Raw genomic sequence first — 15,192 nt, 5'->3', positions numbered from 1 at the left:
CAATGGGACCCCTCCCCTTGAGTGTCTTCAGAGGCCAAGGGAAAAACCCTGGACTTCCACTCCCACTTAGGAACAATGAGATGGTATTCCCCCTTCTCTGCCAAAGTGGAGTCAGAGGAATACAATAAAAACAAAATATGTAAATAAGATCCAGACTCTCATAAGATAATACCCAAATTACGAAGTTTCAGTTGAAAATTACTTGTCAGTCTAAGAACCAGGAATATCTCAAACTCTATAAATGTTTATGATCATATAAATGTTTCAATGAGCAACTACAAATAAACTTAAAAGAATCTCTGCAAAGCAATAGAAAGTCTGAGCAAAGCTATTAAAAGTATAAAGAACAAAATAGAAATTTTACAACTCAAAAATAAACAAAAACTATCAATGACTAGAATAAACAGCAGAATGGACAGATAGAGGAAATAATTGGTGAGCTAGAAAATAGAAAAATAGATGTTTTCCAATTTGAACATAGAAAATAAGCTAAGATGAAAAAGGACATAGCCTCAGAGACAGGTGGGACTATAGCAAAAGATCTAATATTTAGGTGATTGGTGTCCTAGAAGAAAGGGAGAAAGAGGGCAGAGCTGAAAAGGTACTCAGAAAATTAAAGGTTGAAAACTTCCCAAATTTGGCAAAAGATAGAAGCCTATAGATTCCAGTTGAATGAACCCCAAACTGATAAACCCAAAGAAAGCCACACCAAGACACATCGTTGTCAAACTTTTGAAAACTAAAGACAAAGGCTTGAAAACAGCAAAAGAGAAATGACGCCTTACCTATAGGGGGAAAAGCAATTTAAATGACAGCAAATTTCACATCAGAAACCACAGAGGCCAGAAAGAAGTGGCACATTTTTCAAGTGCTGAAGGAAAACGACTGTCAACCTAGAATCCTATACTCAGCAAAAATATCTTTCAGGAATGAAGGGGAAATCAAGACATTTTTCAGATGAAGGAAAAATGGGAAAACTTGTCAAGAGCAAATACAACCTAAGAGAATAGCTAAAGGAAGTTCTTTAAACAAAAGGACACAATAAAGGAAAGAATCTTGAAATATCAAGAGGAGAGAAAGAACATGGTACTCTGGTATTATTTGTGGTGCCCCAAAGTTCATATGTTGAAACCTAGTCACAAATGTGATGGTATTAGGAGGTGAGGCCTTTGGGAGGTCGGATTCTACCTTGTGAAGACACAGCTAGAAGGAACCATTTGTGAACCAGAAAGCAGGCCCTCACCAGACACTGAGTCTGCCAGTGTCTTGATCTAAGCCTTAGCCTCTGTAGCTGTGAGAAATAGATTTGGTTATAAACTATGCAGTTTATGATATTTTGTTATAGTAGTCTGAATGGACTAAGACACATGGTAAGCAAAAATATGGTTAAATACAATATACTTTTGCTTCTCGAGTTTCTAAATTATGTTTGATATTTGAAGCAAAAATTATAACATTGATAAGGTTTTAGATGTATGTAAAGAAAATATATAAGGCAATTTTTTGTTTGTTTGTTTGTTTGTTTGAGACGTAGTCTCTGTCACCCAGGCTGGAGTGCAGTGGTGCAATCTCTGCTCACTGCAACCTCCGCCTCCCAGGTTCAAGCGATTTTCCTGCCTCAGCCTCCCGAGTAGCTGGGATTACAGGCATGTGCCACCACACCCAGCTAATTTTTTTGTATTTTTAGTAGAGACAGGGTTTCACCATGTTGGCCAGGATGGTCTCTATCTCTCGATTGCATGATCCATCCGCCTCAGCCTCCCAAAGTGCTGGGATTACAGGCTTGAGCCACCACGCCCGGCTGGCAATTATGTTTTAAATGGAGGAAGATAAAGGGAAGTAAAGGGAGGTAAGGATTCTGTACTTAATTCAGACTAACAAAATGATGACACCAGAGGGTTATAAATTATGTATATATAACACATATAAATTATGTATATATAATGTATATATAATACCTAGAGCAACCGCTAAAAAGTTATACAAAGATATATACTCAGAACACACTGTTGATAAGTCAAAATGGAATTCTAAAAAATGTTCAAGAAACTAACTCACAGGATGTCAGGAAAAAGAAAACAGGAATGAAAGAACAGAAAATAAAAAATAAAATGGCAGGCTTAAACCCTAACTTATCAGTAATTACATTACATGTAAGTGACCTGTCTATGCCAATTAAAAGTCTTTTGGCATAATGCATTTTAAAAGCATGTTTTCACTAGGTGAAGTGGCTCATGCCTATATATTCCTAGCACTTTGGGAGGCAAAGGTGGGAGGATCACTTGAGCCCATGGGTTCAAGATCAACCTAGCCAACAGTGAGACCCCCATCTCTATAAAAAATTAAAAAATTAGCTGGATGTGGTAGCACGTGTCTGTTATCCCAGCTACTTGGGAGGCTGAGGTGGGAGAATCACTTGAGCCTGGGGGGTTGAGGCTGCAGTGACCTGTGATTGTGCCACTGCACTCCAGCTGGGGTAACAGAGCGAGACCTTGTTTCAAAAACAAAACATGATTTTGCTGTATGTTGTCTACAAGAAAATTATTTGATAACACTATATCCAGAATAAAAATAAGATTGAAAAAATATATCATGTAAATATTAATCAAAAGAAAACAGGAGTTGCTATATTAATATTAGAGCAAGTAGGTTTTAGAGTAAAAAAAATTACCAGAGAAGTACATTATGAACACATACATGATAAAAGGGTCAGTCCTTTAAGACATAAATGTATATGCACCGAAAGACAGCTGCAAAATATGTAAAGCAAAAACTAATAGAACTGGAGGAAGAAATAGACAAAGTCACAATTATAGTTGGAGACTCTGACACCTCTCTCTCAATAATTGATAGAACAATTAGACAGAAAATCAACAAGAATATAGAAGAACTAAACACCACCATCACTCAACAAGATCTAATCAACATTTATACAACATACCGCTCAACAACAGCAGACTACAAATTCTTTTCAAGTGCCCACAGAACACACAGGAAGAGAGACCATATCCTGATTCATAAGATAAACCTCCACTAATTTAAAATATTGAAATCATACAAGTATGTTCACTAACCACAGTGGAATCAAAGTGGAAATCAGTTACACAAAGGTAATAGGAAAACGTCCAGTCCTTGGAAACTGAACAACAAATTTCTAAGTATCCATGGGTCAAACAGGAAATATCAAAACAAATTTGAAAAAACATATTGATCTAACTTGGCCAGGCACAGTGGCTCACGCCTGTGATCCCAGCACTTTGGGAGGCCGAGGTGGGTGGATCGCAAGGTCAGGAATTTGAGACCATCTTGGCTAACACGATGAAACCCCATCTCTACTAAAAATACAAAAAAGTAGCCGGGCGTGGTGGCGGGCGCCTGTGGTCCCAGCTACTCGGGAGGCTGAGGCAGGAGAATGGCATGAACCTGGGAGGCGGAGCTCGCAGTGAACTAACTAAAAATGAAAATACAACAATTAAAATTTGAGAAGACCAGCTAAAGGAATGCTGAGAGGAAACTTGTAACATGAAATGCATATGTTAGAAAAGAAGAACAGCCTCAAATCAGTTATCTATGCTTCTACCTTACAAATCTAGAAAAAGAATAGCAAAATAAACTCAAAGCAAGCAAAAGAAATTATAAGAGTAGAAATCAGTACAATTGAAAAGAGTAACAATAGTGAATATCAATGAAACAGAGCTGGTTCTCTGAAAAAAATCAATAAAATTGAAAGACTGACCAAAAAAAGAAGACAGAAATGACCATTGTCAGAAATGGTGTCAGAGACAAGGATATCACTGCAGACATCAAACGGATAATAAGAGAATACTATGAACAATTCCATATACATAAGTTTACAAGTTAGATGAGATGGGCCAGTTAGTTGAAAAATACAAATCATCACAACTCAGTCTGACATAGATAACGTGAATAGCCCTGTAGAAATTGCTGTGGTTTGGGTATATTGAAATTTTTTAATTTTTATTTTTATTTTTTATTTTATATATATATTTTTATTATCCTTTAAGTTCTAGGGTACATGTGCACAACGTGCAGGTTTGTTACATATGTATACATGTGCCATGTTGGTGTGCTGCATCCGTTAACTCGTCATTTACATAAGGTATTTCTCCTAATGCTATCCCTCGCCACTCCCCCCACCCCACAACAGGCCCCAGTGTGTGATGTTCCCCTTCCTGCGTCCAAGGGTTCTCATTGTTCAATTCCCACCTATGAGTAAGAACATGCGGTGTTTGGTTTTTTGTCCTTGCGATAGTTTGCTGAGAATGATGGTTTCCAGCCTCATCCATGTCCCTAGAAAGGACATGAACTCATCATTTTTATGGCTGCATAGTATTCCATGGTGTATATGTGCCACATTTTCTTAATGCAGTCTATCATTGTTGGACATTTGGGTTGGTTCAGTATATTGAAATTTGATCCTCAATGTGGCAGTGTTGGGAGGTGTAGCCTAGTGGGAAGTGTTTGTGTTATGGGGGCAGATCCCTCATGAATGTCTTGCTGCTGTTCTCACAGTAGTAAGTTCTTGCTCTCTTGAGGCTAGATTAGTTCTTGAAGGAATTGATTATTTCCCGAATGAGTGGGTTGTTATAAAGCCAGGACACCCCTCAGGTTTTCCCCTCTTTGCACCTGTCTGCTTCCCCTTTGATTTTCTCCACCATGTTATGCAGCACAAAAGCCCTCACCAGAAGCCAAGGCTATGCCCACAAACTTTTCAGCCTATAGAACCATAAGCTAGTCTCAGGTATTTTTCTATAGCAACACAAAATGGACTAAGACAGAACTGTTCAGTGAATTAAAGTTGTAATTATGAAATTCCCAAAAAAGAAATATCCAGGCTCAGATGCTCTTATTGAAGAAGTCTACCAAACTTTTTAAGGAAGAATTAAAACTAATTCTACATAATCTCTTCCAGAAAATAGAAGAGGAAGAGACATTTTCCAGTTAATGTTAAGAAATGTTTTACCTTGCTTATATCAAAACCAAAGACATTACAGAAAAAAAAAAAAAAAAAAACTACAGACCAGTATACTTTGTGGGATAAACCCAAATGTCCTTAACAAAATATCAGAATTTTGCAGTATATAAAAAGAATTATATACCCCAAACAATAGAAGTTTATTTCAAGGTAGCAAAGTCAATTCACTATTTGAAGATCAATAAGTGTAATCCACCACATTAATTAAAGAAAAAAAATCCCACGATTATATTAATCAGTGGAATAAAAGCATTTGATACATTTCACCACCCATTCATGATAAAAACTGTCAGAAAAATAGCAATAGAAGGGACCTGCCTCAACTTGATAAAGAGCAACTACAGAACTCCTGTAAGCTAACATTAAATGGTGAAAGACTGAATGCTTTTCCCCTATGATCAAGAATAAAGCAAGAATATCTCTTTACCACTCATATTCAACAAAGTGCAGGAAGTAGTAATCACTGCGTTAAAGAGAGAAAAAGGAAATAAAAGGCATACAGACTGGAAAAGAAGAGCTAAAACTGTTGTTATGTGCAAATGACATGATTATCTATGTAGAAATCCAAGGAATCTACAGAAAAAACTGTGACTACAAAGCAAATCCCGTAAGATTGCAGGACACAATATAAATCTACAAAAAATTAATTGCATTTCTATTTACTAGCAATGAATATTTAGACACTAAAATTAATAATACATTAGCATTTACAATCATACATACAAAAAAATACTTAGGTGTAAGTTTAATAAAACTTTTATCACATTTATATACTGAAAGCTATACAATATTGATTAAAGAAATCAGAAAATAGCTAAATAAATGGACTGAAATATCATGTTCATGGATGGGAAGATTCAACATAGTAAAGATGTCAAGTCGGCTGGGCACGGTGACTCACACCTGTAATCCCAGCACTTTGGGAGGCCGAGGTGGGCAGATCACCTGAGATCGGGAGCTTTAGACCAGCCTGACCAACATGGAGAAACCCCATCTCTACTAAAAGTACAACATTAGCGAGGCGTGGTGGCGCATGCCTGTAATCCCAGCTACTCAGGAGGCTGAGGTAGGAGAATCACTTGAACCTGGGAGGTGGAGGTTGCAATGAGCCGAGATCGCGCCGTTGCGCTCCAGCCAGGACAACAAGAGCAAAACTCTGTCTTAAAAAAAAAAAAAAGTCAAGTCATCACAGATTGATATACAGATTTAACACAATTCCTGTCAAAATCCTAGCAGGATTTGTTTTGTAGATAGAAACAAGTTTTATTCTAAAATTCATATGAGGGGAAGAAAGAACCTGAATATTTAAAAACATTTATTTCTGTTAAAAGAATGTAGTTGGAGTAATCAGTGTTCCTGATTTCAGGATTTACTGTATAGATAAACAGTAAACAAAACTGCGTGGTAATGGCAGAGAGATACACACATAGATCAATAGAACGAGATAGGAAACCCAGAAATAGACTGATACCAATATAGCCAACTGTTTTTTGACAAAGATGCAAAAGCAGTTCGATGGAGGAAAGATAGCCTTTTCAACAGTTGGTTTTGAGGCAATTGGACACCCATAGGCCAAAAAATTAACCCTGACGAAAAGTATCATCCCTTATACACAAAATGAACTCGAAATAGATCATGAATGTAAATATAAAACATAACAATCAACAATAATGGGAGTCAATCTTTAGGATCTAGGGTGAGGCAATGATTTTTTAAGACTTAATCCCAAAAGCACAGTACATAAAAGGAAAAGTTGTTAAGTTGGACTTTAAGATTTTTTAAGCTTGCTCTGCCTTATTACGAGGATGAAAAGAAGCTCCAGGATGGAAAAAAAGATTTGCCAGGCACGTATTTGACAAAGGACAGGTATCTTGAATATATTAAATATAAAGAACTCCAAACACTCAAAAGTAAAATAACAGACAGTCCAATTAGAATGGGCAAAAAAATGAAGAGGCATTCCTTTGAAGATGATATACAGAGGGCAAATAAGCACAGTGAAAGATTTTCTCTGTCATTCATTAGTCATTAGAGAAATGCAAAGTAAAACCAAAATGGGATATCACTACACATTTATCAGAATGGCTAGAGTGAAAAATAATGACAATACCAAATGCTGGTATGGATGCAGGGAATGGATCACTCATACATTGTTAATGGGATATATAATGACACAGCTGTTCTGTACAACAGTTGGGCAGTTTCTCAAAAATCTGTGCAGCTACTATACAACCCAGCAATGCACTCCTGGGGATTTATTCCAGAGGAATGAAGATTTATGTTTACACCTAATCCTGTACATGAATATATATAGCAATTTTATTTGTAATAGCCAAAAACTAGAAAAAAACTAGATGTTATTCAGTGGTAAATGGTTAAACAGTGGTACATCCTTAACCATGGACTACTACTCACTAATAAAAAGAAATGAACTGTTGGCATATATGACAACCTGGATCTCCAGAGTATTATGATTTACAAAGCCAATCCCAAAAGGTTTCATTCCATTTATATATCATATAATATCCCATTTATATACTGTGTTATTTCATTAATATAATATTCTTGAAATGACAAAACTGTCAAAATGGAGAATAGATGAATGGTTGTCAGGGGTTGGGAAGGGAGGGAGGAGGAGTTGGATGTGGTTATGAAAGAGCAACATGAGAGTGGTGTTAGAAATGTTCTATATCCTGACTATATCAGTGTCAATATCCTGTTTGTGATATTGTAAGATAATTTTGCAAAATATTACTGTTGGGAAAAATTAGGGGAAAGGTACAGTGGATCTGTGTATTAAAAGTTTAAAGAAAAATAAATGAAGTGGAAGGTACCTTTTGGTGAAATAAGTGACAATGAGGTAGAAATGCGTTTTGTAAAACTTATGAATACCAAAATAAATTTAGGATATAATTATTTAGATAATAAGGAACTGCAAAAAAATCTTGATTATATGGGTATAGCACAAAGTAAATGAATAGAAATTTACTCTGGCCACAATATATAAATTGTCTTATGTGTACAATTATAGATTATGACAGTATTTCTCAAATACCATCTAAAATATCTTAATGTTTAGAAATTATTTTTTCTAAAAAAGGAAGCCTTAAAATAGAATTGGGTTGCCTATATATTAATAGTTTTAAAGTATTAAAACTATTAAAGTAGCATTATTGCATTACATGGGATAGCCCTTTTAGTTTATAGATGTTAAATCCTAAAATTGATATTGTTACTAAAAATACAATTTTAGCAGAGATTGATAGATATGCTTCTTTTTTTAGGTATGAGTTAATACCTTGATGTTGTTTGTAAGTACATTGTTTGGATCTTTGATTATACTTTCCCTTTGAAATAACTCATAAATGATGGCCACAGTTCTGAGTCACAGATTCTTTGAGAATCTGAAGAAAGTATCTCCTCAGATAGATGGATCATTCACCTAATTTTTCATTCAGCAGGGTATACTCACCATTTGAAAGCAATCTCTGAATCCCAGTTTTAAGAAGCTCGATTAGAAGAAAATATCCAGAGTATTGTATATAATTAATTTCAGTGTAATGTGTAATCATCCAAAAACAACTACCTAATGAGCATCTGTTTGCTTGTACAGTACCTATGGCAGCCACCACATGGGATCCAAAAACTATTTTTAAAATATTCTGTATTGCAAGAGGCTTACAATCTAGTTTAAGAAGCAAGATGTATTTATGAAGTGATTAACTATTAGAAGTGTCAGAGTACGAATAGGATAGTTCTTAGTTTTAGATTCAAAGCATTACAACTTGTAAATTGGTAAATTTGTAAATTTTAACAATTTTCTGGATTAGTTTCAGGTAGTCTTTTTTTTCAGCATGACATTAGTTTTTATGTGGGGCAGACTTTTATAATATAAAAACTTTGCTTACCTACTTTTACTCATTTCTTTTTCAGAGATTGGAAATGCTTATGCTGTTTTAAGTAAATTCTGGTAACCAGTGTAACATTACCTCTTTTGGATTTGGGACTGTGAGATGGGAAAGAGAATTCTTTTTTATAAATAAATGTTGTGAAGGTAGCAAAGTGAAATAGAAAAACTGAGGACTGTCTGTATTTATTTAAAAACTAATTCAGACTTTATGCTGGACCTTGGGGATATTGCCATGAAAACATAAACACAGTCCCTGTCTTTATGGAGTTTACTGTTTTAGGGGATAAATTGTTTGGGATAATAGAATGAAAAAATAGCTCATTCAGGCTCCAGGGTGCAAAAAAAGATTTTTGGTATGGGCTGCATAAAGAGAGTGTATTTATCGTGCTAAGAATAATTTGACTTTGCATGAGTTATTTAACCTTCTTGAATTTCAGGGCCCTCATTTGTAAAGTGAGGATAATAATGGACAATGTAATAAGGTATTGGGTGCAGAGCCTGGCAGTTCTTAGGTACTCAATAAATGATAGCTACTGCTATTGTTATTGGTTTAAACCACTTGAAGAATGGCTTAAGAGGCAGGATTTTAGGAGATGGAGCACAATATTAAAAAAGGAAGATGGATATTCCTTTGTTTTCAAGGCAGTAGAGAGACTTGTCTGGTATAAAAAGTTGTGTTGAGAGATAATATATGTAATTGCAAACAATGTATATCTTTAAAAGAACTTATTTTTAACAATTTTCTGGATAGTTTTAGGTAGTCTTTTTTTCAGCATGATGTTAGTTTTTATGTGGGGCAGCCTTTTATAATATAAAAACTTTGCTTACCAACTTTTACTCATTACTTTTTCAGAGATTGGAAATGCTTATGCTGTTTTAAGTAATCCAGAAAAGCGAAAACAGTATGACCTCACGGGCAATGAAGAACAAGCATGTAACCACCAAAACAATGGCAGATTTAATTTCCATAGAGGTTGTGAAGCTGATATAACTCCAGAAGACTTGTTTAATATATTTTTTGGGGGTGGATTTCCTTCAGGTATTTTAATGTAATTATAGATATTATATTTTATGAAGCTACATAGTCTTACCTCCAGTTAACGTTATTTAGAGATGTATCTACCTTTTCCCCTACATTTCTTGTAGTGTTACGATCCTGTAATGGTTTTTCATGAAAGCAGGAGAAAAATATTAGGGTTATTACTTTTATAATAGCCTGCCTTTTTCCTAGAACATATTTTAATTTAAAAAAATGAAGAGTACAGATATTCTGTATTTTATATAAAGCTGAAAGGGAATGTAAGCAGGAAATGTAATGGCAATGTCTTAGGTAAGTACTATTATAATTATGAATGGTTTTCTTTACTTAAACCTGGATAACTATTTGACATTGCTTCCCTAGAGATCTTTGTAAATATTTTATCAATAACATTATAGTTGGCTAATTTGGATATATGTAGAGGTACTCATCTCTATTTCCATTTAAACAGTAGAAAATCTGATTCATAGGTTATATACAAAGTAAGTGGATTTTTAAGTTTACATTAAAATAGAAATAGCTAACTTTAACTAGACTATCAAAGTGAAATATTGTAGTGATACTAAGATTTTATAGTACCAACATAAATAGTATCAAACTCCACTTACATTTACAGTAAGTGGTCACTTAACATAAGGTTTTTGGAAACTGTGACTGTAAGTGAAACAATGTTCTGTATAACAACTAATTTTACCGCAGGCTAATTGATATAAACAACAGTTAAATTGCTAAGGCATATAGTACATCATGTTTACTTGAAGTTGCAGTTTCCAAGGACCTCTTGATGACGTTAAGTGAGGACTTACTGTACTGTGAGTTGTTATTGTGGAAATCTATTTTCCTTGAATGTAGCTCCTCTAAGGTACTTAAAATTATAGCTTTAGTCTTGTTTACAAAATTTACTTCAGGTGCTGAAGTAAATCCCATTCAACATTAAGAGAATCTTCATGAATGTAGCAGTATAATTGGACCTGGTGGCCCTCTCTGAATATTATTGAGAAAGGTTGTGGTCATTTCTTTCTATTTTTTAATAGAGACAGGGTCTTGCTCTGTTGCCCAGGCTGGAGTACACTGGGGCAATCATAGCTCAGTGCAGCCTCAAAATCCTAGGCTCTACCAATCCTCCCATCTCAGCCTCCCAAGTTGCTGGTACTACTGACATGTACCACATGTCTGGCTAATTTTTTTAAAACTTTTTTGTAGAGACAGGGTCTTGCTATGTTGTCCAGGCTGGTCTTGAACTCCCAGCCTCAAGCAATCCTCCCACCTTAGCCTCCCAAATCCTGTGCTGGGATTACAGAGGTGAGCCACCATGCCTGGCAAGGTTGTGGTCATTGATAGGACGTTTTGCAAAGCATCCTTGAAGGAAAGAGGATATATAAATGCAAATTAATGACTGAAAATATAACCTGTGTTTTGACATGTTAGAATACATAATTACAGAAAAATTATTAAAACTAGTAATTTTGACTGGAAGTATACTAGGAACAATCAGAAATCTTTCAGGCAGTAGTAAATTTTCTTCTGATACTTGATTTGCAGTTATTTTGCTAGTTATAACATAGTTTGTCAATGGTAGCCATTTCTGATTGGTCATCTTATATGAAAACAACTTGAATGTTTATCAGCAAGAGAGTGTTTGAATAAATTCTGGTCCATCTATACCAAGATATATTATAGGGCTATTTTTTAAAAATGAATTTGAACACTATCTTTTGATTTCTAGAGATGTTTATGATTCATTGATAAATGCAAAAAGCAAAGTTTCAAAGTAATAATCCAACATTTATAAAAACAACTAATCACAACTAATCATAAACAAAAGAGGTTTATAAAAACCTCTATGTGTGTAGAGAAACTCTTAGTCAAGTTTTCATAAAGAAGGAACTTCTACCTGTAACGGAAGCAGATTGGGAAGAATCATTCCTATTTCTGTCCACCCTTCACTTACAAGAGGAGAGGGCAATAAGTATTTACTACTGAAAATACACATGCATTATTTTAGTAATTTTTTAAAATTAAAGAAAAATGTGAAAGAAAATGTATTTTTTCTGATCATAATTGCTCTCCCTAATTTAACCTTGCTTTTAATTTTTTAGGTAGTGTACATTCTTTTTCAAATGGAAGAGCTGGTTATAGCCAACAACATCAGCATCGACATAGTGGACATGAAAGAGAAGAGGAAAGAGGAGATGTACGTTTATGACTAGAAATCACAAAATGGCAAATTTCAGCTCAGGAAAAGTAATTAGAGTTGTCTGAAAAGAGGGCAAGTAGTTGTAGGAAATAATGAGTTTTCTCTTACTAGAGGTGTTTGGTAGAGACTAGAAAATCCTTAGGGACATTGTAGGAATAGGAAGAGAGGTCAGCCAGGGGTGGTTGGATAGTATGACCCCTTTAGATTTGTTATTCTATGATTCTAATGAAGGTACACCTGCACTATGCATGTTGTGAAGGTAACTTGTTATTGTTGGCCCTGAAGAATTTAGAGTACTGAAAAACTTGAATTGGAGGTAACTTTCCTTGTTCTAATGCAGTTATACCTAATTGCCTATAGCAATTTAATTACATGAAGTGGAAAGGTAAATGGAAAGAGCACTAGACTAGAAATTAAAAGGCCTGGCCCCCAGCTTTGCCACTCATCAGCTCCCATCTTCTACCCTCAAATCCAAGGTAAAAAATGGTTTTACAGCCTGCAGCATATTGATAGCGTCTCTGTGTGTGGGGGGGAGGGAGTCGGGAAAGAGAAAGAGAAAGAAATGAAGACTTCCTCATCTATAAAATGAAATCAAATTTTATCAGTGTTTTTCAAATCAGAATCTCCTGGTGATATGCCTGGATAATTATATTTAAGAATCATCCTATTGGCATGGTTACGCAGATTTGAAAGCACTGAACTAGATGATCTCAAATGCGCTTTCTGCCTCAAAATGTATGACAACTGTTGTATTATTAACAACTACAGTTATATTACAATTTGTTATTCTTTGATCATTTTTTATAGGGAGGTTTTTCTGTGTTTATCCAGCTGATGCCCATAATTGTATTGATCCTCGTGTCATTATTAAGCCAGTTGATGGTCTCTAATCCTCCTTATTCCTTATATCCCAGATCGTAAGTAGCCAAGTGAAGTTTTACAAAAAATGAATTGTTGCTATTTCTGACCTAGCTTCCTTTAAAGAGCTTGTGCTCTTTTAAACTTTTAAGTGCCAAATCTATTACTGCAAGTGTACCAGATTTTAAATTTCTATCTAATTTTTTAAAATAGTTACTTTAAGTAATAAATTTGTCTTATGTTGTTAATTTACATTTCTATTCTTCCACTGTGGATAAGGACAGAAATGCTATATTTGAACTTGATAACAATTTAATGTGGTAGGTAATGTGTTGACATTAAAGGCAAAAAATACTCTAAAGGACAAAACTAAAGACAGAGCAATGATTGATGTTACATAGATTTATATCATTAAGGGGAAAATGACTTTACTCTTCATTTTGCAAAATATCGATTAAATAAAAGCAAATATTACTTTTTTATGATGTATTTTTTTCACCATATACTTTATGTGTAAGAGGTCAGGACATAAAGGAAATTTAATACAGCATGCAATCTAGACAACTTTAATACAGTGAACATAAAGGAAACTATAACATCATATTGGCTGTTATAGCAGCATGAATAAATAAGAAGCATATAAAGAAAAAATAATAAAAATCAGTGATTTTACAGTATTAAAATCACATTGGTCTAAAAATAACAATTACCTTATTTCTTCCAAATAAGATTTTTATTAACAAAAAATTGAGATAACTTTATAAAAACACAGTATATTTAAAAGTGTGGTTACTTTTTGTGACATGAAATCATGGTTTTAGGCAATTTGAGATAACGTAAATAAATTACAAGTTGATTTTTGTAATTTATAATACAAATAAGATTTTTATTAACAAAAAATTGAGATACTTTACAAAAGCATAGTATATTTAAAAATGTGGTTACTTTTTGTGACATGAAATCATGGTTTTAGGCAATGTGAGAGAATGTAAATAAATTAAAAGTTGAGTATTTCTTATCCAAAATGCTTGGGACCAGCAGTGTTTTGGATTTTGGGATTTTGGATTTTTTCAGATTTTGTAATATTTGCATATATTTTATGAGATGTCTTGAGGATGGTACCCAAGTCTAAAAATGAAATTTATGTTTTATATATACCCTATTCACACAGCCTGAAGGTAATTTTATACAATATTTTTAGTCACTTTGTACATGAAACAAAGTTTGTATACATTGAACTATCAGAAAGCAAAGGTATCACTATCTCAGCCACCCATGTGGACAACCTGTGGTTGTTTGGCATCATTCCTGACTCTGAATTTATATGCTACTGATAAGCAATAATTTTCTTACTCTAATTCACATATAAGTATTTAACAGTGAAAAAATAATGTATTCAGGTTTAAATAACCACCAGCATATTAGCATCACCAGAATACCCGTGTCAGCTGTTAAACAATAGCAACGACAAACAACTACAGGCTTTTAGTTTCCACCTATGATGCTGTGTTTTGATTAAAAGGTGACCCATCACATGAGGTCAGCTTTGGAATTTTTCACTTGTGCCATCTTGTCGATGCTCAGAAAGTCTTAGATTTTAGAGCATTTCGGATTTCAGAGTTTCGGATTAGGGATGCTCAACCTGTATTACCAATATTAACTTTTCAATGATTTTTAATTGTTTTTGTTTGCTTGGTTTATAGCAGCATATTGGAATGTCCAATTTTAATTAAAATAATGATGCATCTCTTTTACAGTGGAACTGGGCAAACTATTAAAATGCAAACAGAAAACTTGGGTGTTGTTTATTATGTCAACAAGGACTTCAAAAATGAATATAAAGGAATGTTATTACAAAAGGTAGAAAAGAGTGTGGAGGAAGATTATGTGACTAATATTCGAAATAACTGCTGGAAAGAAAGACAACAAAGTAAGTTTGTCATGTGTTTAACATTTTAAAACTTATTCGCAGTCTTTGGAACTGATTAATGTAGATTTCCCTATTCAAGGAATGTTCTGGAATTCCCTGGCACATAATTGGAGCACAGTACTTAAATGAGATCATGTGTTTTATATACATGTGGCCTAACATCGGAATTGACACATAGTAAGGACTTAATAAATGGTACTTGTCTATTGTTATCAATAAATATTTGGTTGAATAAGTAATACCAAATTTTATTGTATTGATA

General features: G+C 34.3%; 1 protein-coding gene across 5 annotated transcripts in view; it reads left to right on the top strand.

The window, feature by feature from the left end:
- Nucleotides 1–15,192, top strand: part of DNAJB14 (DnaJ heat shock protein family (Hsp40) member B14) — a 50,371-nt gene that overhangs the window by 27,963 nt on the left and 7,216 nt on the right. For 4 of the 5 annotated variants that reach the window (NM_001278310.2, NM_001031723.4, XM_047416185.1 and 1 more), the window contains 4 exons: nt 9,760–9,945; nt 12,045–12,139; nt 12,950–13,059; nt 14,758–14,930. In NM_001278310.2, coding sequence (NP_001265239.1) covers nt 9,760–9,945; nt 12,045–12,139; nt 12,950–13,059; nt 14,758–14,930 — 564 coding nt within the window. Of the gene's footprint in view, nt 1–9,759; nt 9,946–12,044; nt 12,140–12,502; nt 12,619–12,949; nt 13,060–14,757; nt 14,931–15,192 lie in introns of those variants that run through there. The other variant, XR_938772.3, reaches the window with a different exon arrangement.

The sequence above is a fragment of the Homo sapiens genome, chromosome 4, assembly GCF_000001405.40.
Source record: "Homo sapiens chromosome 4, GRCh38.p14 Primary Assembly".
Lineage (NCBI taxonomy): Eukaryota > Metazoa > Chordata > Mammalia > Primates > Hominidae > Homo > Homo sapiens.
Note: the sequence above shows the minus strand (reverse complement) of the source record. Positions and strands in the feature narration are given on the sequence as shown.